The sequence below is a fragment of the Homo sapiens genome, chromosome 5 (assembly GCF_000001405.40).
Source record: "Homo sapiens chromosome 5, GRCh38.p14 Primary Assembly".
NCBI lineage: Eukaryota > Metazoa > Chordata > Mammalia > Primates > Hominidae > Homo > Homo sapiens.
The window spans coordinates 109793186-109820102 of NC_000005.10; the positions used below are offsets into that span (position 1 = coordinate 109793186).

A 26917-nucleotide genomic window follows, 5' to 3' on the forward strand; every position below is an offset into this window, starting at 1 on the left:
TCCCAAGATGTCCAAAGTCTCATCCCATTATGCTATTAGCCCCAAATTTCTACCTAGATCAGGCCAAAATGGGTCACTCATATGGCTGGCAGTTAATGCTGGCTTGTTTCTTCCAGTATAATTATTTAAAGTTAATCACAGTAGATTGTAAACTCCTTGAGAGTAGGAATTATTTCTTTATTTCTAGCATCATGCCTGTGGTATTATATGCAACATAGCAAGAGTAATTACAGATTCATTGAAATACATTTAAATATTGACTGAAGAGAATATTAAGCTTCAGACACCAGATATGCATAGAAGAACATGGTTCACATTCTATGTGAAAATGTGGTATCCTGGTATATATTCTCCTCAGGTGGTTCTTTGGTCTCATATTTGGAGGTTGGGTGCCAGAGTGCTTCTAAGTAAACTTTAAGACCGTTACAAATAAAGATAAACCATAATTCAATAAAGCTTGGAATTTGTATAACTGTCCATTTAAGATTTTAGTTTTATACCATGAGACCTGAAAAATTTCAGATTGCATCTCAGCATCATTGCATTCTTACAGAGTTAACTTCGTTAAGATTGGATATTGGGTGAATGTTCAGAATGGATGGATATAAAAGATAGTTCCAAATAGCTGAATGAATTGGCTTTATCAGATTGGTTTTTATATGTAAGACTTATTGTTATGATCAACATAGCCTGATTCTACATTTTGTATTTTTAATATTGTTATTGTAAACAATTCTTCTGGCACTAATTATCTATTAGTTTAATGGGATTCAAGGCTAGCTTTTTTCTTTTCTTATGTTATCAATATATTTTTATACCAAGTAAGAATGTGTCTTAGAAAATATCTAATATCTCTACCAGTTGTTTACACATAAGTTTTAAATGAAGAAGCCAAACTCGCAACCTTATTTTTATTGTTTGGAAATGGAATTTCTAGGAAAATAGAATTCTGACCACTCAGATTGTGGCAGCATTATTTGATAGAGGCATTTGGAGCTTAACGGCGGAAGTGAGATTCCATGACTTGAACCAAGGCGGCTCTAGTCTGAGAAGTGAGTCTGGTGAAAGAGCTGTTAGTGTACAGAGGGAGCGCACTTTGTGCTCAACTGTGGAGGAGATGGAAGTGTTAGCTGCGATAATTAGTCCAGGAACTGTCCTTAATAGCTCATGGATTATGATGGTTTAAGCTTAAACCTTGACACGTACTAGAAAACTAGTATATAGAAATGTCTTTCCATTAGTTAACAGAAAAATGAGTGTAAAAAGTCAGTAAGATTAAAGGTTTTCTTTCTTGAAACTGGTCGGCTATATTTTTTAATTATCCTAAAGAATTCAAGGCAATAATAGAATACAGGATTTGACATCCTGGACCCTCTCCAGCTTCTGTTATTTTGAGAAAAGCTGAGATATTTTTACCTTTTAAATAAAGCTGTTTTGAACTTTTCTTTTGGTGAGGGAATTAGTAACTGATGGTCCTAGAGACTCTTAAACACATAAAAACTAAGCTATTCTGTATTCCAGTCTAGTTTAGTTGTATCTAGGCATTAATAGTACAGTGTATTTATGAATTTTATTGGATTTGAAGGATGAGTTTATAAACTGTCCTCTAGGATGCTTTTCTGTTTAAATATATATTGCTTGTAAAAGGTATTTGTATGTTTTCACCTATGTTCTGTCTCTGTTATGTGTTAACTCTGATTTTTTTCAAGGTATAGGTTGGCTAGTTCCCTGATTATCCAGAAGCACTTTTCATCTTGTCTGTAGTCTACTGGAGTGTTTTCAGAAAGGATGCTTTATCCAAAAGACTGAATGGAATATGTTATATTATGTAAATAACCAAAAGTTTCTTAAGGAATTCAAGGTACCTGCAAGATGCTACGTTAGTTAATTTTATGTTAAAAATTATTTGCATTGACTAGTGGTTGGTACTAGTGTTGGAGCAGTCATGGCTTGGTAGCAATACAAAATAATCTTATTTGGTGTTTGCCATTCCAATTCAGTCATCACAGGATTACATTTTGCCTAATTTTTCAAGAAAATATAAAGGTCTCTTGGGGAGGAAATGAGGAGAAAAGGCTCCACCTTTGTTCCAGTCCCTCCCACCCTTAGCATTTCTATGTATTTTATGACATCAGGAATGATGAGTATTAATTCCTGACATACTGTTTCAACCTCACATTGACTGAAATTAAATAACATCTATTATATTAAAAAAATAGTTGACACTTCCAGTTTACGTGATGGCTGACTAGAGACCATGAGACTGACTCTTAGTTTCCCATTAAAGCTCATATGAAAATGTAGAAGATGATGAACAGTTGTAGGAATACCAAAACCTTGGCTTGACAGTCAGTGTATTATCACAATCTAAGATGTCCACAAACTACAAAGCTGATAGAACTGGTCTGAAAAATGCAATTACTTGCTGATTAATGATAAGCAGTTAGAAATAAAAGCAACCTGCATGTCTTTTAAAGCAAGTATGGAGAATGATTCCTTTTCCTTTTCATAATGTCTACCCCCAAGGCTTTCAAATTCTGGTATTATATCAACTAGAAAAGTGAACAAATATTTTTCTATTGGAAGAGTGCTACTTTTGAGGCTATTAGGAAGTTAGGTAGCTTTTCTTTTTTTTCTCTTCTTCCTCCCTGCCTAAGGTCTCTGTTGACCATCTTCATTTAATTGACCAAGTAGATCAACTGACACTCTTCATTCCTTTTCAGTGCCCATGGTAATGTGGCCTTGTAGCTAACAGGCTGTTAGCTAGCAGGCCAATGTACTTCCCTCCCTCCAGTCTTTCAGTTGTGTGATTATCATGAATCAGTTATTTATTCCTAAACAAGTTGTTGTTATTTTTTTCTCATAAACCATTTTATTACGCTGTTGAATTACATAAAAACCCTTTTTTATGAAGTTGAGGACTTTGGAAATATTCAGCAAAGGTGAGTCACTGATAAATGTTGGCGAGATGACTGCAAAAGATTTGGGAAGAAATCATAAAAATATAGAAGCCGGCTGCACTCAGATTTTCTTAACATTTTTGAGTTTAAGTTCTTGCTATACTTTAGAGAAACCTAAGCTTGGAACCACAGAAGATTATCACATGTTTGGTTATGCAGAAAATATGAAAACTCCAATTACTGGTTCCATAGTCAAAGGATTTGCATATTTTGAATATGATACATGTATATATTTCATGGTAAAGTAAAATATTAAGAATAACACATACATATCATAATGATCTTCTACTTTAACTTTTATTTTCAGCTCAACTTTAACTCTTTCTGTTAATAGATCTATTGCCAGCCTTGATCACATTGATGAAAGGGCTTCCACTGTGTCCATATTTTGCAATCAATTTGGAGACTAAATCTGCCAGAAATAAAGTAGGCAGGAACAAGGAAACTTAACGATAGATCATTGAGCTAGGAAAGTCCGCTCAAGGAAATTGCTGTTGGTGGTGGCATGGGCAAGAATACTGTGATATTCTTTGTTGAAGAAAGAAGCCTTCCCTTTGTTCAGAATCAGAGCTGGTATAGAAGACTGAATACCAATCAGGCACAGCCACCTTGGATATTAAACCTTTTGGAAACTTGCGATCAGGCTGGATCCATGCATGTGAGCCTATTATTCACCCACTCTTTTTCTCCATCACTGAATCCTCTTTACATCCTTCATGACATTATTAACAAACTGGCCATGTCATTTATTCCTTATTGTGTGTCTCACTTGGTAGACTAGCAGCTCCATGAGGGTAGAGAGCTTGTTTGGTTTTGCATCCCCTGGCAAATACCTGGCACACAGTAGGTGTTCAACAAATATTTGTCAAATAAACTAACTACGTTAGAGAAGGACTTCAGCTAATATCAAAATAAAAAGGACCAAGGGTAGTTTTAGCAAACACAGAGTCTAGGTAAATGTCTACTTCTTTGAGGATAAGTGATTGAAAGGTTGTCATAGGAGAGCTGTGAAAAAGCTCTACAGACTGATTAAAAAATAGGGTGCAGCATGAAGACTCAGAAGTGTAGCTTACTTATTAAAATGATTTATTACAGAGACCAGATGAAAATTTTTTTAAAAAAAGAGGACCTGGAACTCTCAAAAAGTTTTGAGTTATAATCTCTGAGAAATATGAAACAAGGTGAAACACTGAAACAAAAAGATGACAAAAAATGAAAATGAAAATATTTGGAAGAGGAGAGGAGTGAGATAAGGAGAGATTGTTGGAGGGGCAATAACAGACCATCTTCACTAGTGATGCTGAAGAGTAAAGCTGACACTGAAAGAGGGTATGGATGTGAAAAAAAAGTCCATGAGATACTTTTTTAAGAATGTAGACAAAAGGAAGACAAATGCCAACAATGAGAAGGAAGATGATGATCGGTATGGAGGACAAGATTCCAACAAAAGAATTAAAAAACTTTAGGAAAAAATACAGCAGAGGCAATGATCAAAGATATAATTGATGAAAAGTTTTCTGAGCTGAAAAGGCCTCCCTTTATAGATGAAGAGGGATAAGTGCTGGGTAATAAAAATGAAAAAAGAGCCACCCCGAGTACACCATGGTAACTTAGTTCAACTAAAAGGAAAAAGGACATATTAAAAAAGTGCCCAGGCAGAAAGACTATATTGTATAATATAGAACAAACGCTAGACTGACTTAGACAGGAAGACTATGAAGTTTTGAAATCATTTTATACTCAAAGTTATCTTTCATATGTGAAGGTAGTAGAGAGACATTTTCAGATATGAAAACACTTATACCACAGGCACACTTCCCATATTTTTAAAAAGAAATTTTAAAAATTTCTTGATGAGGTCAGTTCAGCTGACTGATAGATGAATTAAAATTAGCAATTAAAAATGAAGAATTAAAAAGGCATTGGAAACAATTAGACGTAGTGAAATCTAAATCATTATTGTCAATTTTATTGTCAAACTAAAGGTAGAAGTGTCCATTTAGTTTTGATAGAATTTAACAGCACCATGGATCTGCAGCTTCAGGTTATATTAATGCCTGAAATAGGTGGAGAGGCAGGAGCATATAGGAGATCCTAAATAATAGTTTTTCTTCAAGAAGATTTAAAAAATACCAACTTCTGGTGAGAGTGATATTTCGTATTCCATTGCCTTCACTTACTATCAGTGTACTGTTAACTCCTCAAACATCTGTCTCTGCTGAGAAAAGTCTCCTAAGTTCTAGACCCACTGGCCAAGTGGATAGCTCTCTTGGGATGGCCCATTAGCAGCTCCATTTCACCGTGTTTAAAACGGAACTCCTCTTCCCTGCTTGAACCTGTTCTGTGGTCCCAAGCTCTTTCAATTTTAGAGTGACCAGATATGACAGTTTTTTCACTATTAGCCTCTTTCACTCTCAAAATTAGTTTGGACAATAAATTATGGGGCTACCCTGATCATCTTGTCTTTTTTACTTTCAACTCGTATCCAAACACATGCTAGACCTTTTCATTCTGTGTTTTGTTTGTTTGTTTTGTTTTGTTTTGTTTTGTTTTTGAGATGGAGTATCGCTCTGTCGCCCAGGCTGGAGTGCAGTGGCACAATCTCGGCTTACTGCAAGCTCCGCCTCCCAGGTTCACACCATTCTCCTGCCTCAGCCTCCTGAGTAGCTGGGACTACAGGCACCCGCCACCACACTGGGCCAATTTTTTTTGTTGTTGTTGTATTTTTAGTAGAGACTGGGTTTCACCGTGTTAGTCAGGATGGTCTCTATCTCCTGACCTCATGATCCGCCCACCTCAGCCTCCAAAAGTGCTGGGATTACAGGTGTGAGCCATCGCACCCAGCCTCATTCTGTTTTTTAAATGTGTCTCAAATTTGTCCTCTTCATCTTCAATGCTACTACCCTGCTTCAGACTGCTACTGTCCCTCCACTGGGTGATGGTAATAACCCTGTGACAGATGTCCCTGCCTCACACATTTGTTGGCGGAGTTTAATACGGTTATGTGTATGAACTTCATAGTATGGGACCTAGCGCTTAGCAGGCACTTAACTAATATTAGCAATGATGTAACTTAGCTCAAAACCCTTCTTTTTTCCATTACCCTAAGGATAAACTCTAGACTCTTTAACGTGGCTTGTGTGCCTGTATTTTTGTCTCTCGCATCATCTCTTGCATCAGCTCAGTCTGCACTATGTGCTCCAGCCCCACAATGACTCTATTCAGAACACAAAAATTCAGAGAACTATCAATTCTTGGACACTCCATTTTTTGTTATATTACCTCTACATCTTTACTACCTGGGGGGTTAAAAAAAACAAAAAAGCAGGCCAGGCGCAGTGGCTCATGCCTGTAATCCCAGCACTTTGGGAGGCCAAGGCGGGCAGATCACCTGAGGTCAGGAGTTTGAGACCAGCCTGACCAATATGGAGAAACCCCATCTCTACTAAAAATACAAAATTAGCTGCGCATGGTGGCGCATGCCTGGAATCCCAGCTACTTGGGAGGCTAAAGCAGGAGAATCACTTGAACCCATGAGGTGGAGGTTGTGGTGAGCCGAGGTTGCACCATGGCACTCCAGCCTAGGCAACAAGAGCAAAACTCCGTCTCAAAAAAAAAAAAAAGCGAAAGAACCAAATCACAACAAAAAATCTCCAATCTTGGCCGGGCATGGTGACTTACCCTATAATCCCAGCACTTTGGGAGGCCGAGGTGGGTGGATCCCCTGAGGTCAGGAGTTTGAGACCAGCCTGGCCAACATGGTGAAACCCTACCTCTACAGAAAATACAAAAATTAGCCGGGAGTGGTAGCATGCACCTGTAATCCCTGCTACTTGGGAGACTGAGGCAGGAGAATTGCTTGAACCGGGGAGGTGGAGGTTACAGTGAGTCAAGATTGCGCCACTGCACTCCAGCCAGGGCAACAGAGTGAGACTGTTGTCTCAAAAAAAAAAAAAAAAAACAACCTCAGACTTCACCTCTAGATGCACCCGAATGTGCACACACACAGACATGCACATGCACACATACACCATTTGCCTGATAAATTTCTGATTGTCTTTTAGAACTCAGCTTAGATGTTACATCTTACATCCTCTGGAAACTTGGTTGAGATCCTTGAAGCTAGGTAGTGTTCTCATATGACTCCATGGGACTGTGTTTACCCACTAAATGCCTGCGTAATAGTCCTCTGAAGAGACTTGCTATAAACCTCTTGCCGGTATGGGTTGGTCTTGTTCATTATTCCAAAATGGTGCCTAGCAAATCTTTAAGGAAAATGACCTACTGCCAGTAGCATTTGAGCTAGGAATTGCACTAGAGGGAATCTGTCCTGCAGAAATAATCAGATATGGAGGTGGAGAGAACTCTGGAAAAGGACGTGCATTTCAGCTTTGTTTATCATGTGAACAAATATTTTAAAAGACTTAAATGTTTATCAGTAATGAATTGGTCAAATATTCTACATGTGTAAGTTATATAGAAAGATTTTTAAAAGATGCCTAAATTAGCATTTCTTTTTGTAATAGAGAACATAGGGCTGGTAAATTCTGGGATTTTAACTTAAGTTTTTATGAAATTTGTGTTTTCAAGTTTTATGGAGTAAATGAAGATGACTTGTTTGAATTGAAGTTGTGAATGGTTGAGTGAAATATGGAAGAAGTGCTTGGTACATAGGAGGTGTTTGCTAAACTAATAACTAAAAATTGGAGGTGGAGAGAGTGAAAATTATGAGAAAAAGTCATGTAATCATTAGGCAATTAAATAATTTATCCATAGTGATGAACCCTTATGGGAAAAGTTTTGATTTAGAATCATCTCGCATTCATTGTTTTCTTCTTTAAAGGTGAAGTTTTTTGTACTTGTTGGCTTTCCTTTGTTACCCAATATGACTTCTTGTATGTATAGTGTTTCATTTTGTATTGCACTGAACTGCATACAACAGAAACCTTATTACAATGGCTTCTGAAGAAAGCCTTTTATTATTCTTATGGACAAGTTTCAAGGCAGGTAGTTAGGGCTCATGATGGGTTCCATGGTGCCGTCAAAAGTCCAGGCTGCTTTTACCTGTTAGCTCTACCACTGTTAGCCTGTGGCTCTTGTTCTTGTGAACTCAGGATGGTTCCTGCTTCTACATACAGTACATCTGTGTTTCGTCCAGAAAGAGGGATGAGCAAAGGAGGAAGGTCATGGCAGTTGGGATAAACTGGGGACTCAGTAACTTTGTCAGAATTTCCACATACTGGAATTCTAATTACATGTCATTGTCCAGAACTGTGCCACATGTCTGCATCTAGCATGGGGAAGCAGGTTTTTTTTGTTGTTCATTTTGATTTTGTTTTTTAAGCTATGACTGTTGCCATCCTAAATAAAATTGGCTTTCTATCAATAAAGGAGAAAGAGATAATGGTTGTTGGGTAGGAAGGAGCAGCATCTGCAAATTAGATTCATTAACTAGATCAAAAAGCAGCTACCAGATTTTCTGTCAGCTACTCTTCCTTGCCCACTTCGGCTCAGGGACTGGAGTTGTGTTCTGAATACTCTAGGAGCAGGTCTATACTGAATAAATCAGTAATGGTTGTTAGAAATGTCTTTAAAACATGTTCTCAAGACTTATCAGTTAGGAAAATCATACCAAACACAATGAAACTGAAAAATTTTCTACATATTCTAAAACCAAAACATAATTAGATGCTGCAAAATTAAAAATTTAAAGAGATAAAGAAAAGCTCATAAAATAAGAGCATATATATACAATTGAGATTTGGGTTATTTAAATATTAAGAAAATAGAATATTTATTCTTAAACATTTCCTGTTTATTTGTAGGACTATGTGGGCCTATGTTAAAATATAGTTCCTTATTCTTTGATTCATACATTCATTCATTCAGTGACAAATTTACTTTGTATTTCTGTCTTGGGCAGCACTGTACTGGTATGTGTTCATATTTTCTTGCCTCTTTCATTTCTTCTTGATTCTTTCTTGCTCAGAACCTACACAGGCAAGGTCTCTTTTCTAAGTGACCTGTGATTTATACTGTACTGTGTAGACTGCCCATAAGACAAACCCTCAGTGCCTTACCTGAAATCTTCAGGGGTAGATGTATGTGAGGGTTCAGAATTCTTTTTAATTTTAGGAAAGTACTGTGCATATGTGGCATATTATTGCACAGTCTCCTTTGAAATTTCTGAATGTTCCGATCAAAAAATAAAGATTCTATAAAGCTTCATGTCAGTTCTGTTTAGATTTACTACCAAATGAGTTATAAAAAAGCTTTTGATTTTTTCAGAGCTTTTTGGATTTCACAGTTTAGAGATTGTAGTTCTGTAGAGTATTGGTTTGGGCGAATTATGAAATTGCTTAAAATAATTAGCAAGCTTCCTAAAAAGATGCATTATAGCAGAAACCATTTTGATTCTTCTAAATGGCATTGATTGTTACTATCATCCATACTTGGGTGCCTCAGCTTTTCTTTGTTCTGATTCCCATCATTTCAAAAATCTGTTCAAAAATGTCTGTCTCTTAAGAAATCTTTGCTAGCTGAGCAGTGCTTTTCACCCTTTTGTACCACATTCTCTAAACATGTAGGTATTTAGGTGTTGACTTTTTTTTTCTTTGCGAGAATTCATTCCTTGACTTTACTGAGTGTTGTAGCTTCCTAATTATACTTCAAGCTTCCCTCATCATCTGAATTCATTTTTTCAAAAGATTTATCGTTCTATTCTTGCATCTCCTAAAATAATGCTTTTTGCATTTCTTGCATCAGGCAGTTTAAAGTTTATGATAGGCTACCTAATACAATATAATTAAATATATATTTTTACTGTCATTTAGAAGTTCGAAGAAAAGTGTTTGTCATTAGGCTATTACCAGTCTCACACATTGATTTTTAAGTGATATGCAGTGTGGGATTTGCCTTAGTGCTTTAACAGCATAGGATTTTAAATCATTCTTTTCTTCAATTTCACATGAACTTTAAAAGAATCTTCCTTACCAGGCCCTTATAATTTAGTCTGCTATGATTTTGTTCTTAGGTACAAAATTCTTTTAGATTTTATTTGTGAAAGTAATTAAACAGATAGATTGCATTTAAAGTTATATTTTTTATTTTTATTTCTTGAAAAATAAAGGCAGAGTAGCTTAATGTTCTGAGACCACCTGCTAAATTGCCTGGTTAGTCTGTGTTTTAATTGATTTTGTTTATATTTTAAGTCAAACTTTCTTAATTAACTAATTGCATGGTTCTAGTTTATTGTCAGATTATTATACAGTGAATTCAGTTTGCAAAGTGTGTTTTAATTGTGTGTTTTGTGTGGTGAGATTAAACTTATTTTGCTTGTTTCTTATAAATAACATCTTCATCCATCAAGGACCATAATCAGAAAATGCAAATGATGGGGAGGAAAAACAGGTGCTCATATATATAGAATTATGATGAGGTATTTTGATATATTAAAATATGAAGGCAGAATTGTCATGGAAAGTACCATGTATAATGGATAAAGGATTATAATAATTTCTAGTTAAGATATTTGGAAATACATAACTGTATGTAACTGAAGAAAAACTTTGAAAAGAAGACGAGGTGGTGTCAAAGAATAGCTGGTGTTAGTTTTGGTGTGTTTGCTAGATAATATAAATTTTGAATGATTCTGTTTTGCTATTGCTGTAGCACCAACACTTGAAGTTGTATAAAGTACTGTGAAAATGTTAAAGTAAACTAAATATCTGGAGTATGAGTGATTTTTAAAAAATGATTTCTATTGGGGTGGGAGTAACTGATGGTTACGTGAGATTACTTCAGTAGCTTATTGTTTTCAGTTTCTTGCAAACTTAGTTCTCTGTCCACTTTCCACTTCTTTTCCTCCCAGTGTCCATCATGTCTTCTGAAATAGTAACATAAAGCTAATTATTAACCCAAAGCAGTTCAGAACATAGACTAAAGTGATGTGGCATATTTCAAAGTCTTCCACTCTTCTGAACTAGATTTTTTTTCCTTCTAAATGCAGATTAATAAAGCGTGCACAACAAGAGGAACAAGGAAAAGGATTTTAGTGAAGGTATCCTGATCCTGAAAAAGTCAGGGAGGGCTTCAAGCCCATCTTGGACTTCAGAACACCTCACAACTTTGTGGTAAAAGAAACATTTTAAATAGAGCCTTTGGACTTATTTATTTCATCCTTATTCAGAGAGTAGCGCTTTTTTTAAAATTTTTATTTTTTTTAGGCAAGACAATTGTATGTGAAATCGCGTTACTTTTCAAACTGAAACATAGGGTTTCAGATTTGTTGTAGGTACTTAATATATACTCAAAATATTACAGGTAGTTGGTTGGCTTGTGTGTTTTTCTTTGAAATGTGTTCTTTTATCCCTTGTGACATTGTGTTTGCATTCACTGTGAGTGATGTTTTCTCTAGTGTTTTGTATCTTTAATCGGTTCATTGGGTTGTATAGTAGGGAGTCTTTCCTAGGACCAATATTGTTTCTAAAAATACTTTGAAAGTAGAAAGTGGTTTGTGTTTTATTGTTTTCATATTTTTTACCAGTCATATGATGGCTTACTAATGTGAAGAGATGTAGCACTAGTAAAAATTTGTTGTTTTCTCCTCTATTCACCTGGAAACCTCACACAGGATAGATTTCATTTGTCAACACAGATATAGACAGTGAATACAAACATCTTTGCCATTTCTGTCCTTAACAACAAAACAGTCTTATTTTACTTTGTTAACTTTTTAAGGTCCTTTTTATTTGTGAAAATTAGGTTGTTTATGTACTATGTGTTCTTCCAAAGTTACAGAGTTATATTCATTGGAGAAATGAATTTTCTTCCAGTAGATGAAAATTACATTTTGATTGAACATCATTCCTTATGCAGTCACCCATAAATATAATGTCTTTTGCTGTCTTTTCAGAAAATGGCTACAGATGTGATTTCTGAATTGACAAGGAAATAGAACATCTTAATGTTTTAGGTAAAACAGATGGTATTTTTGTTTGAGGCAAAACTCAGAGAAAGCAACTTAATTGGTGACAAGACTCTTGGGGTCAGCCAAATTATATACAATTTGTGTTTGTTTTTGTTGCTTTAATATCAAAAGTTTTAGAATACTTGGAATATTTATTCTTTTATTTGACTTTACTATTTTCTGTTGTGTACTGGAAATAGTTGTAAAATTTTTCAATCTTTTCTTTACAAAAATTGTAAGTCCACATATTTATTCTGCTTCGGTTACATTTATGGTCTTAGAAATGCTTTTTGCATTGTGAAAAGTTCCTGAAATTTGTAGTTCTACTTTTGAGGGTTAACATTTTCATTTGTAGTTTTAAGTTGCATTTGCAACTACAAATTCTGTGGACATTGATACCAACTCTGTTCTTTCCATGCCTTTGAGCTCTAGGCAGATCTCACTGTCAGATGCCTGGAATTTCCGGAGCACAGTGTTGTGAAGGGACCCTTGCATGAGAGTCAGAGGACTGATTCTAGCCCCATCTCTGTCACTAACCAGCTCATATTTTTGGAACTTCAGTTTCATTTGCTCTCTATATTTGGCGGGTATTAATAGGTAATCCCCGAGGTCACATCCAGTTAACATTTGGTTTTCTTGTCTAAGTATTAATCATTTATAAAGCAATCATTTGGATAAACACCAGGAAAGGAAGTTTTGAGGAAGAGACTACTGTGGACAATAACCAAGTGTTTCCAGTAACTGGGACATAAGATAATCTGTCTTCCAAAATATCTCCAGTATTCCAAAATGAAGACCTATTATGTAGCAAATTTTCTTTTTACCACCTCTTACAGAAATTCAGAACTGGGTAGTGAAACAACCGCTTGTGTTGTCATCATAGCAACCAGGGGAAGTAGCCTAATCCTCACCTCCAGGAAAACTCCTTTACCCCATTCCTGGCACTGCAGGTGGGGAGGCTTTGGAGTGAAGGTTCTCTGCTGGGGTGAATATAGAGCAGTCTGATAAGGCTCTGTTCAGAGAGGCAGGGGGAGGGTAATGGGATTCTGAGTGCTCTAGTTGCTGCATCAGTGCTTCTAGCACGTGCACCCTGACTGCCTTACCCACTGAAGGGAGACAGCAGGTCACCTTCCCTGTCTCTGACTCCCTGACGGATTGAGTTTGAATCCTGGCTGTACCATTTCTATGGCTACATAACCATGAGTAGGATACAGAACCATTCTATGCTTCTGTAAAATAGGCTTGTAAAGTAACTGCTCAGCACTGTTTTAAGGCTAATTAAGTGCTAGCTGTTGGTATTATTATCATCATAGCTGCTAAGATTACCATAACATCTGAAAAACTCTGCTACGAGCTAAGTCATTTACTTAAATATAGCAAAAATATTCCTTTAATACAGTTTTATATTTGACTTACTGCTTTGTCTGTTAGTATTATAAACAAACATAACTGTCTGCCCCAGTAATATTTTCTAACATAGAGCTTTCTAGAATATTTACTTAATAATATCATACTTTCCTTGCCATTCTTAGTTTAGAAACTAAAAGTTTATTAGTAATATTTTGTGGAATTCTTGCATTTGAGGAGAATAAGGTATTTGCAGCAATCACTTAGTTGCCAACAGCAATTTTAGGTACTGTGGTCATACTGTTTTGTGAAGGACAACTTTATATTTGCATTTGATCACACATGCAGCATGCTTGTTTACCTTCCTTTTGAATCTTTTCCTTGGACAAATGGCTCTCCATGGGATGATAGGCTCATAATATTTTGTCCATGATTTTAAGAATGATTTCTCCTAAATATAGAGAAAGGTGTGAAATAAACTTTCATATATTAGGAAGATAGGGTAGCATTTATGTACTACTATATCCAAGTAAAATTCTAATTTTTATTGCTGAAAGAGTGTTCTGTACCTTAGCGTTGAATTTTTTTTTCTTGTAAGAGCAGGCCATATTTGTTACTTAACCAGCTAGTAGCTTCCAGAAACCATCATTTAAAATTTTTCCCTTGTGAATACAGGAGAGAGGGCAAAGGGCTAGACCCACTTCATTTAATCTTTGCTTGGTCCCAGTTCCAAGGACCCCAAGCTCTTCTTGCTTGTTACTCTTTGCCCACCTCCATCCTGTTTTCCAGGACTCAGGATTTTCTTTTATATATCCTTGGTGGTATGAAACTGGAAGTTAGTCCTCATTTTCAACAGGAATAGTGTAACCTGGTATATTAGTTTCCTGTTGCTGCTATAATAAATTACCAACAAACTTAATTCTACTAAAAAATACACACAAATTTATTATCTTATAGTTTTGGGGGTCAGAAGTTCAAGACCATTTTCACTGGATTAACAAAATATTGGTAGGGCTGGTTCCTTCTGGCGGCTCTGAGGGGAGAATCATTTCTTTGCCTTTTCCTTTTCTAGAGATGACCTGCATTGCTTGGCCTGTGGCCCCTTCCTTGTATATCCCATCCACTTGGTTCTGTTGTCACATAGTCTTCTTCTCTGTTGGATCGTCCCTCTAATAAGGACCCTTGTAAATACATTGGGCCCACCTAGACAGCCCCGAATGAGCTCCCCATACCGTGAGCTGTAATTTAATCACATCTGCAAAGTCTTTTCTGCCATATAAGGTAGCATTCATAGGTTATGGAATTAGGACATGGACATCTTGGGGTCATTATGCTCCCTATCATACCTGGAAATCTGATTTTTAAATTTCCAGTGGAAAAATGGATCTATCTGTCTTCACCTTTCCTGCCTAAGCTATCAACTTGAAGCTATCTACTTCGCCGTCCTGCTTTGAGCCTTCACCCCTTAAGTTCTTTCTCTGCCTGGCAACTAGAAATAGGTATTAAAAAGGAAAATTTGACCATGTTAAACCTTTTCCATCAACTGCACAAAAAGCTCCAAGCTCCTTGTAATGACTAAAAGACAACCCACTCCCCACTATGACTTGAGTTTTATCTACTTTTCTAACTTCATATAATTGCATTTTAGAGATGCACTTTACTGTGTAGCGTCTAGTGGTAGTGGCCTGTATATCTTGAAAATAACATTATTTCCCGTATATCTGTGTCTTTATTACTGAAAAGGATTTCCCTGCTTCCTTTGCCCTTTAAAAAATTTGTTTGTTTTTGATGTTGTTATTGTTCTGAATTTTTCTAATAAACACGTAACTTCCTGTAGAATAGTGTTTACATCCAAAGCTATTAAAAGGATTTCTAGCATATTCACTGATAACCCTAGAACCTAGAGGAGGTAACTATTAACAACAGTTTCTTTTTAGAATTTTATATATTTTTATATTTCACTGCTTATTCTTTGTATATAATTCAGAATATTCTTTTGTATTTAATAATGCAACAAACATTTTCTTGTATTTAAAAAATTCTTTATAAATATTTAATGGCTATTAGTATTCTAGTACGTAAGTATACTTTTAATTGTTAATGTGTTCCCTCAATTTAATATTATATTGATTAGCTAATATAATGTTTTGAATAGTATTGTTTAGATATTTACATTGCTTAGCTGTGGAAATAGTTTAAATATTTTTTGTTTACTATATTTCTGTTTTTCTCCTTACACTAATTTTTTTTTTTTTTTTTTTGAGACAGAGTCTCACCCTGTCACCCAGGCTGGAGTGCAGTGATACAGTCTCGGCTCACTGTAACCTCCACCTCCTGGGTTCCAGTGATTCTTGTGCCTCAGCCTCCTGAGTAGCTGGGACTACACACACGCACCACCATGCTGGCTAATTTTTGTATTTTTAGTAGAGACAGGATGTCGCCATGTTTGCCAGGCTGGTCTCGAACTCCTTACCTCGGGTGATCTGCCTGCCTCGGCCTCCCAAAGTGCTAGGATTACAGGCATGAGCCACCACATCTGGCCTCCTTACACTAAATTTCTAAAAGTAGGAATCATTGGATTGAAAGACAGACTATTTCTAAGTTATAGTTTTTTCTGATTATAAAATTATAAATGCTAGATATAAGAAATGTATAAAGTATGAAAAATAATTATAATGCTGCCACCTAACAATAAGTATTGCTAATATTTTGGTAAGTCATCAAGTTATTTTTCTCTTCTTTCTTGCCATCTTTTATAGATGATTTTAATATTCTTTTAGTATTTACATAGAAAAGCATAGATGACTTATTATAGTTTAATTGAAATTATTACTTTTGTGTTTTTTTGTGTTGTCATTTATATTTTCTTATATATTTACCCCTCTTTGTGCTCTTCATTTTTCCCTGCAATCTCATGTTTCCCTCTGATATTATTTTCTTTCTGCCTGAAGACTTAACGTTTCTTTCAGTACAAGTTTGCTGGTAACCCATACACTCAGTTTTTGTTTCTCTGAAGGCATTTTTATCATTTTCTAAGGATATTTTTGCTGGATATAGATTTTTAGGCTGGCAGTATTTTTTTGTTTCCTCACCACCTCAAATATATAATTCCATTTTCTCCTGGCTTTCTTAATTATTTTGATATGTCAGCTGATGATCTTATTGTTGCTTCTTTGAACAGTGTAATCTTATTTTTACTGGCTGCTTCTCAGATTTTGCCTTTTCATAGGGGATTTAACATGACACACCAGGTGTATTTTCTCCGTTTGGGGATCACAGAGTTTTTTTGTATCTGTGGGTTAGTCCCTTTCCTTAGTTTTGGGAAATTCTCAGCTATTCAGGTAATTATATTGTGCTATTTTCTCTTTTATTTCCATCTACACATATCCTATTTCACATATTAGATCTTTTCACTGAGTTCCCTGTGTCCCTAACGTTCTTTTCTATATTGCATATTCTTTTTTTCACCACTTCCATTTGTATGTTTTTTATTGACTTCTCTTTTGCTGAGTTAAATATATTTATTCTGCTATTGTTAAAGATATCTTTGGAGTTTTTAACTGTAAATATTTATCCTTTTAGAATTTCATTTGATTATTTTGTAATGTGTTAATTTCTATGGTAAAATTCTCTACCTTGTCCTCTACTTGATTCATGTTTTTCTCTTTCCTTGGCCATATTAATTATAATTTTAAAGTCATGTCAGCTAACTTCAATATCTGGGTCATGTATAGTTCTAGTTTCTTTTTTTCTTGGTGTTTAGTCACGTGGCTCTGTCTTTTGTGATGCCTCTTAATTTCATATTGAGTACTAGACAATTGTGCATAAAATTTAGAGAGACTCTAGAAAATATCTTCTTCTAGATAGATGTTCCAATCAAGGACTATGTTAAATTGAGACTGATTTATTCAACCTGTTGTTCACCTGGCTTTCTAAGTAATTTTTCAACTAATAGCCTGCTTATATTCTGTAGGCCCTATCCCCTGGTGGGTTCTGGAATGTCATGAGATGTCTCTGCTCTACTTTTCAGAAGCTTTCTGTTCAGGTTTTAAGCTTCCCTTTCTGCGCAGCCTCAGTATTTGGCACTTGTCGTAATGAAAAAATCAACTGTGTACCTGAAGCCTCCCAAAGTCTCCACAAAATGCTCTTTTGATCTCTTTGTTCCCCAGTGATTTCTTCCAGACTTTCCACTAGGTTTTGCATGGAACTCACAGCCTCTCCCTTGCTGAGAATTGGCATGCCCCAGAGTGAAAATGACTGCAGAAGGCTGGTCACTTTTCTGAAGTTTTTTCCTCTCTTCAGCAGTTTTTCTGTTGCCCTCAGGCAAATGATTATTATTTTTTATCTGGCTTTTCTAGTTGGCTAGTAGAAGTGAGAGCTCTTGTTTGTTGACAGCTACTCCATTTCCCCTGGAAGTGGAAACATCATTTATTTCTCAACTTCAATTTGACAAAAATAAAGTGCTCACCTTTTTTTCAAAAGAGTGTTTATATTTCTGTTGATTTATAAGAGCACTTTACAAGTTTTACTATTTTTTTTTTTTTTAGTTTTTGTTCTTTAATCTCATTTTTAAGATAGAAAAATTTTTAGTTTTTTGTTACCAAATCTGTCAGCCTTTTACTTCATTGTATTTTTCAGTTATGGCTAGAAAGACCTTTTGTACCACAGATTATATATTTATTTTTTCTACTAACTTTGTATCTTTTTTATGTTTCAAAATTTACATTTATCTGGAATCAGTGTTGACATATTGTTTTAATGCATCTAGTAACCATTTGTCTTGCTCATCTATTATTAAGGATGTATGTATATTATAGAATTGTTTTGCCCATCTCATGATCATTTTCCTTCCCTCACCTTTCTTCCAAGAAATGAAATTCAGTGGGATTTTGGTTGGCACTGCATAAGACTTACGAATGAATTTTGGGAGAGTTGTGCTTTTGCATTATTTTAGTTTTCTTATTTAGAAAGATATGTCTCTCCATTCATTTTTATGTTCTACTAAGTGACATTTTTTCATTTTCTGCGTATATTATACATTCTGCTCATTTTGTATAAAATTAATTTTCTGTTTTGATTGGTCTCCTGAAGATTGTTAATCTTCCTAACAGCCGTGTGTGTGTGTGTGTGTGTGTGTGTGTGTGTGTCTGTGTCTGTGTGTCTGCATGCATACGTATGCATCCCATGACATGCTATTACATACCTTTGTCTTATTGCCTACCCTGTTATATTGAACTTACCAGTTTGTTTCTGTGCCTCTCCCTCCTAAACTGTAGGTACTTTGTTGACTGGGATTATGTATTCATATTCATAAGTTTATAACTACACATACCATACAGCATCTTTCTCTCCTTTCTTTGCTTGCTTTTTAACTTAGCCATAAGCCATGTGGTTACTTTGAATGTGTATTCTCACCACTACCATGTTATCAGAATTCTTGTTTCAAGATATCTGTATTATCACCTGTTGTTAATTTCCTTTATTTAGATTTATACATGCCTTACACAAAAAAAGGATTTATGACAGCTCATTGACCTGGGTTTGTTAAATCGTTCACTGTACTACCCAGTGTGATGATGTGCCAGGGTCCTTGGTCAGGATACCATGAGAGTCTTGTAAGGGAAAGGAGAGAAGTGAATTGTTATTGAGATTCTTTTTTTGTGCTTGGTCTGAGCTAGGTGGTTTTCTAAACATTTTATAATTTAACATTAACAATAATCTTGTTTCCCGATTTTATAGATGAGGATATTAAGTCTTGGGGAAGTGAAATAACTTGTCCAAAGCCTCTGAAACTCTAAGTGACATGGTGGGGATTTGAGTTTGAATGTGTCTGACTCAAGAGCCCAGGAATCACACAATTGTGATTTTTGAAGATCTAGTATAACTCAAAAAGACACTCTTAGTTTTTAAGGTCTTGAATTTTTTCCTGTCAATATGGTAAGCATTATATTTTAAACCTAGAAAACAAAATGGTATATATCAAAAGAACTTCAAATCTAGATATTGCAACTTCTGTTAACATGTAAATTCATGTTTCCATATTCAGAATACTGTATAAAGCTTAATGTTTTTCTTTAGGTTATATTCCACTAATGAGGCTACTTAGAGAAGATGAATGCATTCTTGTTTGAAATGATTTTTTTAATATGTTGTCATTGATTAAGAGTCAGACAAAATGAGCTCTAATTTTTGCTTTATTCTTAACTTTCTTTGTAATATTGAATGTGCCATTTGCCCCATCTTTACAAAGGGACTAATTATATAATTTATATTTTCGAAGAATTGAAAAGCACTTTTTAAGGAATTGAAATAATCAAAATGGAACTGCTCTGATAAAACTATAAAGCCCCACATCAGTAGATACTATTTACAAGTAATAAATTCTCCTAGTGGTATTTTTCTGCACTGATGATTCATTAACTACTGAACATTATTCTGTGCTAGGTACCTATAGTAAGCACATGAAATTACAGTTATTTTTCATATGCCTTTTGGTGTTTGCTTAACTGATTTTAAAGTGCACTTATAAAGAACTTGAAAAAATATGTATTTTTTTAATCTTCATTACACAATCATAAAAATATGTAAGTTGCTTTTAAAATGTTTCCTCAAATATCGTTTTTGCTTACTTCATGCAGTGAGGTCATGAGATGAACTCCTTAGTATATATTGCAAGTTTTTTTCTGTTCCAGTGTTCCAGTATATAAATTTTCTTTCACAAATATAATATACTTGAAATGTAAATAGCTTATTGCTTATCTGAGCTTCCTGAGGAGAGAGGCTCTCTGGGGATATTGGCCTTGCTAAGGAGAAAGTTCTTCACATTTGAATTTGGATGCAACTAAGGGAATCTCCACAGGAAACTTCAGCTGTCACAACTGTCACAAAGATCCTTATATGCCTGGCCTGTGAGTGAAGTAGTTAAGAAGATGGGTGTGGAGGTGAAATTGCATTATAAGCCCTATTGTGGCACTTTTTACCTGGGCCTGTCTTGGCAACATTCCTGCTCTTGTTGAACCTCAGTTTCCTTATATGTCCAGTGAGAAGAATGAAAGGTTGCCCCACAGGGGTTGCCCATGCAGGTCTGAGGACCAGCCCAGGCATGCAGGATGCACTCTGAATGAAGGTCCCTCTGACCAAGGGGCATGTTCCTTCCACTTTGTACTGCAGCCAGTCCTAGAAGGAAGCCTGTGTGCTCCCAGTCTGTTGTTCACATTTTAGTGGGCACTGATTAGATTTACCTCAAAGAGAAAATTCAGTATTCCATAGTTGTCTTTTTTAACATGATATGAATTACTTCTATGAAAGGTGAAGGAATTTTTAGTATACTCATCCTCAGTAGAATCTTCAAGGACAGCCACGTTTACACTGGGATTCTTCCATAAAGTGATTCCCAGTTTGATAGGAGCATACAGATGTTCTTTCATTTTTGTCCATTCGTTTTTCTCCAGCCAAAGTAGATTATCTTCTGCCCTCTAGTTTGATTGGCAGGTAACATATGAATGCTTTTTCTTCATGAGGTGAGAGTTTTTCCTTGTATATGGAGAACTGAGATAATTGCTCATAACCCTGAATTATGGGGGCCCAATGTCACAGTGAGAACTAGGAGGCTGGACGTGACTTGGTGACAGATGATACGTAAGAAGCTAATGCTGATGTGGTGGAAATTGGAGAAGAAAAAAGCACTGACCTTACAGCTAAAATTGAAATTAACCCTCCCCATTCTGAAGATATAAACATAATTCTTTTGTTAATGTGGATCAAATATTGTTAATTTTCAGTAAGTGAGTATGATATTATGATATACTGAAACCTATTGGTTTCATTCACAACTAGAGGGCCTGAAAGGACTCATGTTTGGGGATATTGGCAGTATAACAAATGTTTGACTACCAAATGTGATGACAATGAAAATTAAGTTATTTATGATTGTATACTTATTTCCAAAGGAAATATCTATATATGATCATCCTTTCTCTGTACTCTACTTAAAATGTACATAGATAGGAGTTCGTGTGTCAGATAAATTTGTTCTGTGATGCACATAAAAAACATGCTGTGAATCTCTAATCATGTTAAAAATTATTTTCTTAGTGCAACATTATACTCATTATATACTCTACACATTTAGTCTTTGAATAGATTCCTGGCATGATAATTACATAATCATTCAGTACAGTAGAAACATCGTTATGGTCAAATACTAATTAGCTACTAAAATGAAACAAAATAGAACCTAGTTCATAGCTTATTATAAAAAGTGATTTAATAGGGTGCAAAACCAAATATATGGTTAAAATTATTGTTTGCATTAAGTATGAGTACTTTTTTTTCATAGAAGGAATTAGTGTTCTGGATGCTTATTATCTAATTTATTGCTTGGACACACATTATAGTATCACAGTCTTCATGACCTTTGGCTGTAGTGGAGCACCCAAAGAACATGCCAGTAGGGATTCTAGGCTTAGTGTGCCTAGGTATGCCTCAGGGCTACTACAGAATTAGGAGATTGGCCAAAGTTTTCAGGCACCATTTTCTCAAGTTCTTTAAATACTAGCTCTGTAAGCCTCTGGGAACATGGGTTTCAGTAGTAAATCACTCATTTCTGGGGTTCTGCTTTGAACATCTTTGGTACAGAGAATGAGTGATCCACCACTGTTTTTCTTCCCCATTGCACCTTAGAAATATAGGACAGTCCCATTGGTAATAATGAATCCTGGCCGTTGCAGTTAGCCAGGTGTGTTTGTGAATGGGGAACAGTCAGGCGAAATGTAATCTCTGGTAGGAGGGCTGTGGGAGGCTGCAAATAGATTGACAAATCTCTGAGGTAAGTCTGTTGAGTATACCTCTCAAGAGGGCATCACCCTCCCTCGCCTTGAGAATTGCTTCTGTGCGTAAAATGGGATTTTATCTAAGTACTAGGAGGATTCGTTGCTCTTTGTAAATATGTTTGTGACTATGTGGTTTCATCTGTTCATCTCTTGTATACATATGGAATCTCAGTGAACATAAGTAATACAAGTTAGGTCCTGTTATCCTGATGCATACTGTAAGCCTAATAGGAATTAGAGACATTCTTAATGTCATTATCACCTTTGGTATCTCAGAATGTTGCTTTAACATAAATGCTTCTGATGAACAATTTATAAGTCTAGTGTCATGGATTTTGTGTTATATCCTCTTTCTTTTTCTTCATTTTTCCTGTTGTCTTTTTTCCCTTTAGTTTTGGCCCCTGTAGGTATTCATTTTATTTCTTAATGAACACTTTGTAATGCAATTAAAGCAAAAATATATAGAACACATATACAGGATGGAAGAATACTGGTAAGCTTGGTGCTACCATCTATAGCTACAATGTATTGGGGGAGAGGTGGTTGTTATCCAACTATTCAGTGTGTTCCTGCGGTTACAAAATTGTATAGGAAAACAAAAATATTTCAGATCATGAAAATATGCACTAGTGAATCAGTGAGTTATATTATTAGTCCAACATCCTCTTTGAAATACTCTTCATTTGAAGACAATATGATGCAAATTGATTATAAATTATAAAATCATAAACCTTGCAGAGGATGCAGATTTCATGAAGTCTGCAATGTGATGGTCTAGAACGTCTCTGCTCACAGGCAAAGCCATGAAAGAATGACAGTCTGGCAGAGTTATGCTAGTAAGAAAATCAAGGCTGTTGGGTACCTCAACTGAGAATTATTTGAACATCAGAACTGGGAGAGGATTTTAGGAAAAATAAAGTCCTTAAATATTTTTTCAAATATAGTTTACTAATAAAACCATCATGTAAAAATTAAATGTTATGTGAAGGATGTCATAATATGCTGGTATAAAATATTGGAAAAATTGTGTCCCAAATTTCAGTTCATTTATGTTTTTGTTCATACCAAAAGTTGCACGTAGTTGCAAATATTGCCTAAACTTATTTTAATAGTTTGCATTTTCCTTTTTCTACCTAATCCCAATCAATTTTTTTTTTCACCATTACTTACTATAAACATTTGGGGCCCTGTTACAAGTGGATTCACTTCAAGTGACCTTTTTTAGAATCAACTTTCTTTAATAATAAAGTCCCATTGTATATAAAATATATGTGTGAATTATGTGATTTTCCATATATAGCCATACATTCTTAGTGGTCTAAAATGAATATTAGATTTTTAACTGGAACTCATTGTGATGAAATTGCAAACAAATTGTGAATTTTTTTTATTCTGTGAGATTAGGTAGGAATCAGGGTATTAGTTGTATGGAGCTCATTCTTTTAAACAGATGAATAAAACCGTATTTATATAAGTCTTTTTCTGGGGTACAGAAAAGCTTTATTACACATCTATGAATATCTTCCATTTGTAAAGCATTAATTCTTTAGAAAGGGCTTCTGAATCATTATTTAATTACCCTTTGTACTGTGTGATATTTGTTGTGATGAAATTGCCTGTTCTCTGAAAGTTCTCACAGAATATTCCTGTTAATTCTTCTCCATGAGTTGACTCTATGACTGTCCATGAACTGAAGTATTATGAAGGGTTTGGAAAAAATTAGCCAGATGTAGTAGCATGCACTACACCTGCTACTCCCAGCTACTCAGGAGACTGAGGTGGGAGGATTGCTTGAGCCCAGGAGGTTGAGACTGCAGTGAGCTATAATCTCCCCACTGCACTCCAGCCTGGGTGACAGAGTGAGACGCTATCTCAAAAATATATATGTATATGTATATGTATATGTATATCTACATGTATATGTATATGTAAGAAGTAAAAATATTTTGAGATCCCAATAATGAAGCAGCTGTTTTTGCAGGTACCTTGTGGTCTATAATCCTTTAGAACAAGACCGAATCTCGTTGGTCTCAGTCTATGTGAGTTCCCCGACAGTGCAAGTGTTCTCTGCTTCAGGAAAACCTGTGGAAGTTCAAGTCAGCGCAGTTTGGGATACAGCAAATACTATTTCAGAAACAGCCTATGAGGTATGTTGTAGCCATAGAACTTAAGGAGGCATTGTAAAACAAACCTAGCCAGTATATAATTTGTGTATGTACAGTAGCCCCCATTTAGCCATCATGTTGGTGTATGTGAGGTGATGAAAGTTGTAAATACCAGAGAGTTTAACTGGTGGGTCAAATGACACTAAAGGAAAAATGATCCTGTGTTCCCTAAAATGTTAATTTCTTTGTTAGTATATATATTGTATCTTATTATATGTTGTTCATATGTATATTGTATATCTTTGTAAGGATGCATACTGTTTATTCTAAGGTAATGCAGTAATTATTACTCATAAAATTTTGAATGTTTTGCTCTAAGTGAATTTAATGATAATTATGCATATCGAAAGTGAGATAAATACCACCCTTAGTAACTTTGGATAGTTTTAGGTTTTCATTGCAAAGGTGACATAACACACCATGGAAGAGAAATGCCCTAAAATAATTAAGATGCTTCTTTTGTGAGATATAATTGTGGAAAATCTGTGCTCAAGTTAATAGGTATTTTTTGTGCCAAAGTTTCTTAAAATAAGCAATATTAAACTGATCACTGTACCACTAGAAAGGTTAGACTTTTAAAATCTGGAATGTCATTTAAACGGCATTTCTGGAGATACAGCCATAAACTAGGAACTCTAAGAATTGTTTCTGCTTGACAGAAGCTATTGCTAGCTACTTTTATTATTATTATTATTATTTTTGAGACAGAATTTCGCTCTTGTTGCCCAGGCTGGAGTGCAATGGCGCGATCTCGGCGCACCGCAACCTCTGTCTCCCGGGTTCAAGTGATTCTCCTGCCTCAGCCTCCTGTAACTGGGATTACAGGCATGTGCCACCACGCCTGGCTAATTTTGTATTTTTAGTAGAGAGGGGGTTTCACCATGTTGGTTGGGCTGGTCTCAAACTCCTGACCCCGTGATCCACCTTCTAGCTACTCTTAAATATGCATCATCTTTTAGATAGAAAGGTAAACTATAATAAAAATTTTGGTCAGATTTTACAGGAAGCTTTCCATCTAGAAAATGGAACAGCAACAGCTCCTGGAAAGCAGGGGTCATGTCTTAAACTGTGTGCATCCCCCATGCTCTGTTCAGTGTCTGCTGAACCTCAAGCATTTGATGGCTAATGCTAACTTGTTTAATATTTATATTATGTTTATCATTTTTATTAACCGAAATATCATAATATTGCAAAAAAAATTAATAATTAGGAAATGGCATTGTTGTAAAGCCCTTACATTCATGGAAAATTTCCTTCTCTAGGCATTCTAGAGTACAGCCAAACAATTGAGAATGATCATACAGGTTCACATATTGGATAAAAACATTAGTGCTTTTGATAGGCCTACCAACTTTAGGTTATTAGGTTCTCTGGATAAACTGAGACATGTATGGTTTACCCATAAGATATCAAACATTTATAGAATATTGTTACACAGCCATGCCTTGGTATCTGTAGAGGACTGGTCCCAGGACCCTCTGGGGATAACAAAATCTATGGATGCTCAAGTCCTTTATATAAAATGGCATAGTACAGATGATCCCTGACTTACAATGGCTCAACCTAGATTTTTCAATTTTATAATAGCGTGAAAGTAATGTGCATTCAGTAGCAACCGTACTTCAAGTACCCATACAACTATTCTATTTTTCGCTTTCAGTATAGTATATAATAAATTACATAAGCTATTTATATTTAGTATAAAATATGATTTGTGTTAGGTGATTCTGCCCAACTGTGGGCTAATTTAAGTGTTCTGAGTACATGAAAGGTAGACTAGGCTAAGCTATGATTTTGGATAGGTTAGGTGTATTAAACACCTTTTTGACTTACGATATTTTCAAATTCTAATTGGACATAACCCAATCATGAGTTGAGGAGCATCTGCATTTGCATATAACCTGCACACATCCTCTTGTGTATTTTAAATCATCTCTAAATTACTTGTAACATCTGATACAATGTAAATGCTATGTAAATAGTTATTATACTATAGTTTTTATTTGTATTTTTTGTTTTTTGTTTTTTTTTCAAACATTTTTTATCTGTAATTGGTTGAAACTGTGGACATGGAACCTGTGGATATGGAGGGCCAACTGGATTCTCTTTTTAAAAAATATGATAGTTTGTTGGTTTTACCAAAAATATAAATGGTTTGCCTCTCAGTAGATAACATTTATCTTTAATAAATTCCCTTCCCTATCTTTTAAAGATCTCTTTTCGAGCACATATACCGCCATTGGGACTGAAAGTGTATAAGATTTTGGAATCAGCAAGTTCAAATTCACATTTAGCTGATTATGTCTTGTATAAGAATAAAGTAGAAGATAGCGGAATTTTCACCATAAAGAATATGATAAATACTGAAGAAGGTATAACACTAGAGAACTCCTTTGTTTTACTTCGGTTTGATCAAACTGGACTTATGAAGGTATGTTCTGAATAGTTCTAAAATTCATAGAATGCTTATCATTTTTGCTACAATGTGTGTAGATTAATTAGGCAAAAGGGGAAAAAAGTCTTAAGTAGAGCTGTATCAAATACTCTTGAGTAAAAGGAAGCATGAGCTTTTTGCACCTTCATTGACCACTTGCTGCTCACATGTATAGTCTGTGGGTGGCGCTACTCCGTGGTCTGTGTGTCACT

General features: G+C 35.4%; 1 protein-coding gene across 5 annotated transcripts in view; it reads left to right on the plus strand.

Moving 5' to 3' along the window:
• The window catches only part of MAN2A1 (mannosidase alpha class 2A member 1), a 179699-nt gene that overhangs the window by 103259 nt on the left and 49523 nt on the right, over positions 1-26917 (plus strand). For 4 of the 5 annotated variants that reach the window (NM_002372.4, XM_011543395.4, XM_017009472.2 and 1 more), the window contains 2 exons: positions 24088-24253; positions 26484-26702. In NM_002372.4, coding sequence (NP_002363.2) covers positions 24088-24253; positions 26484-26702 — 385 coding nt within the window. Of the gene's footprint in view, positions 1-10968; positions 11093-24087; positions 24254-26483; positions 26703-26917 lie in introns of those variants that run through there. The other variant, XR_007058604.1, reaches the window with a different exon arrangement.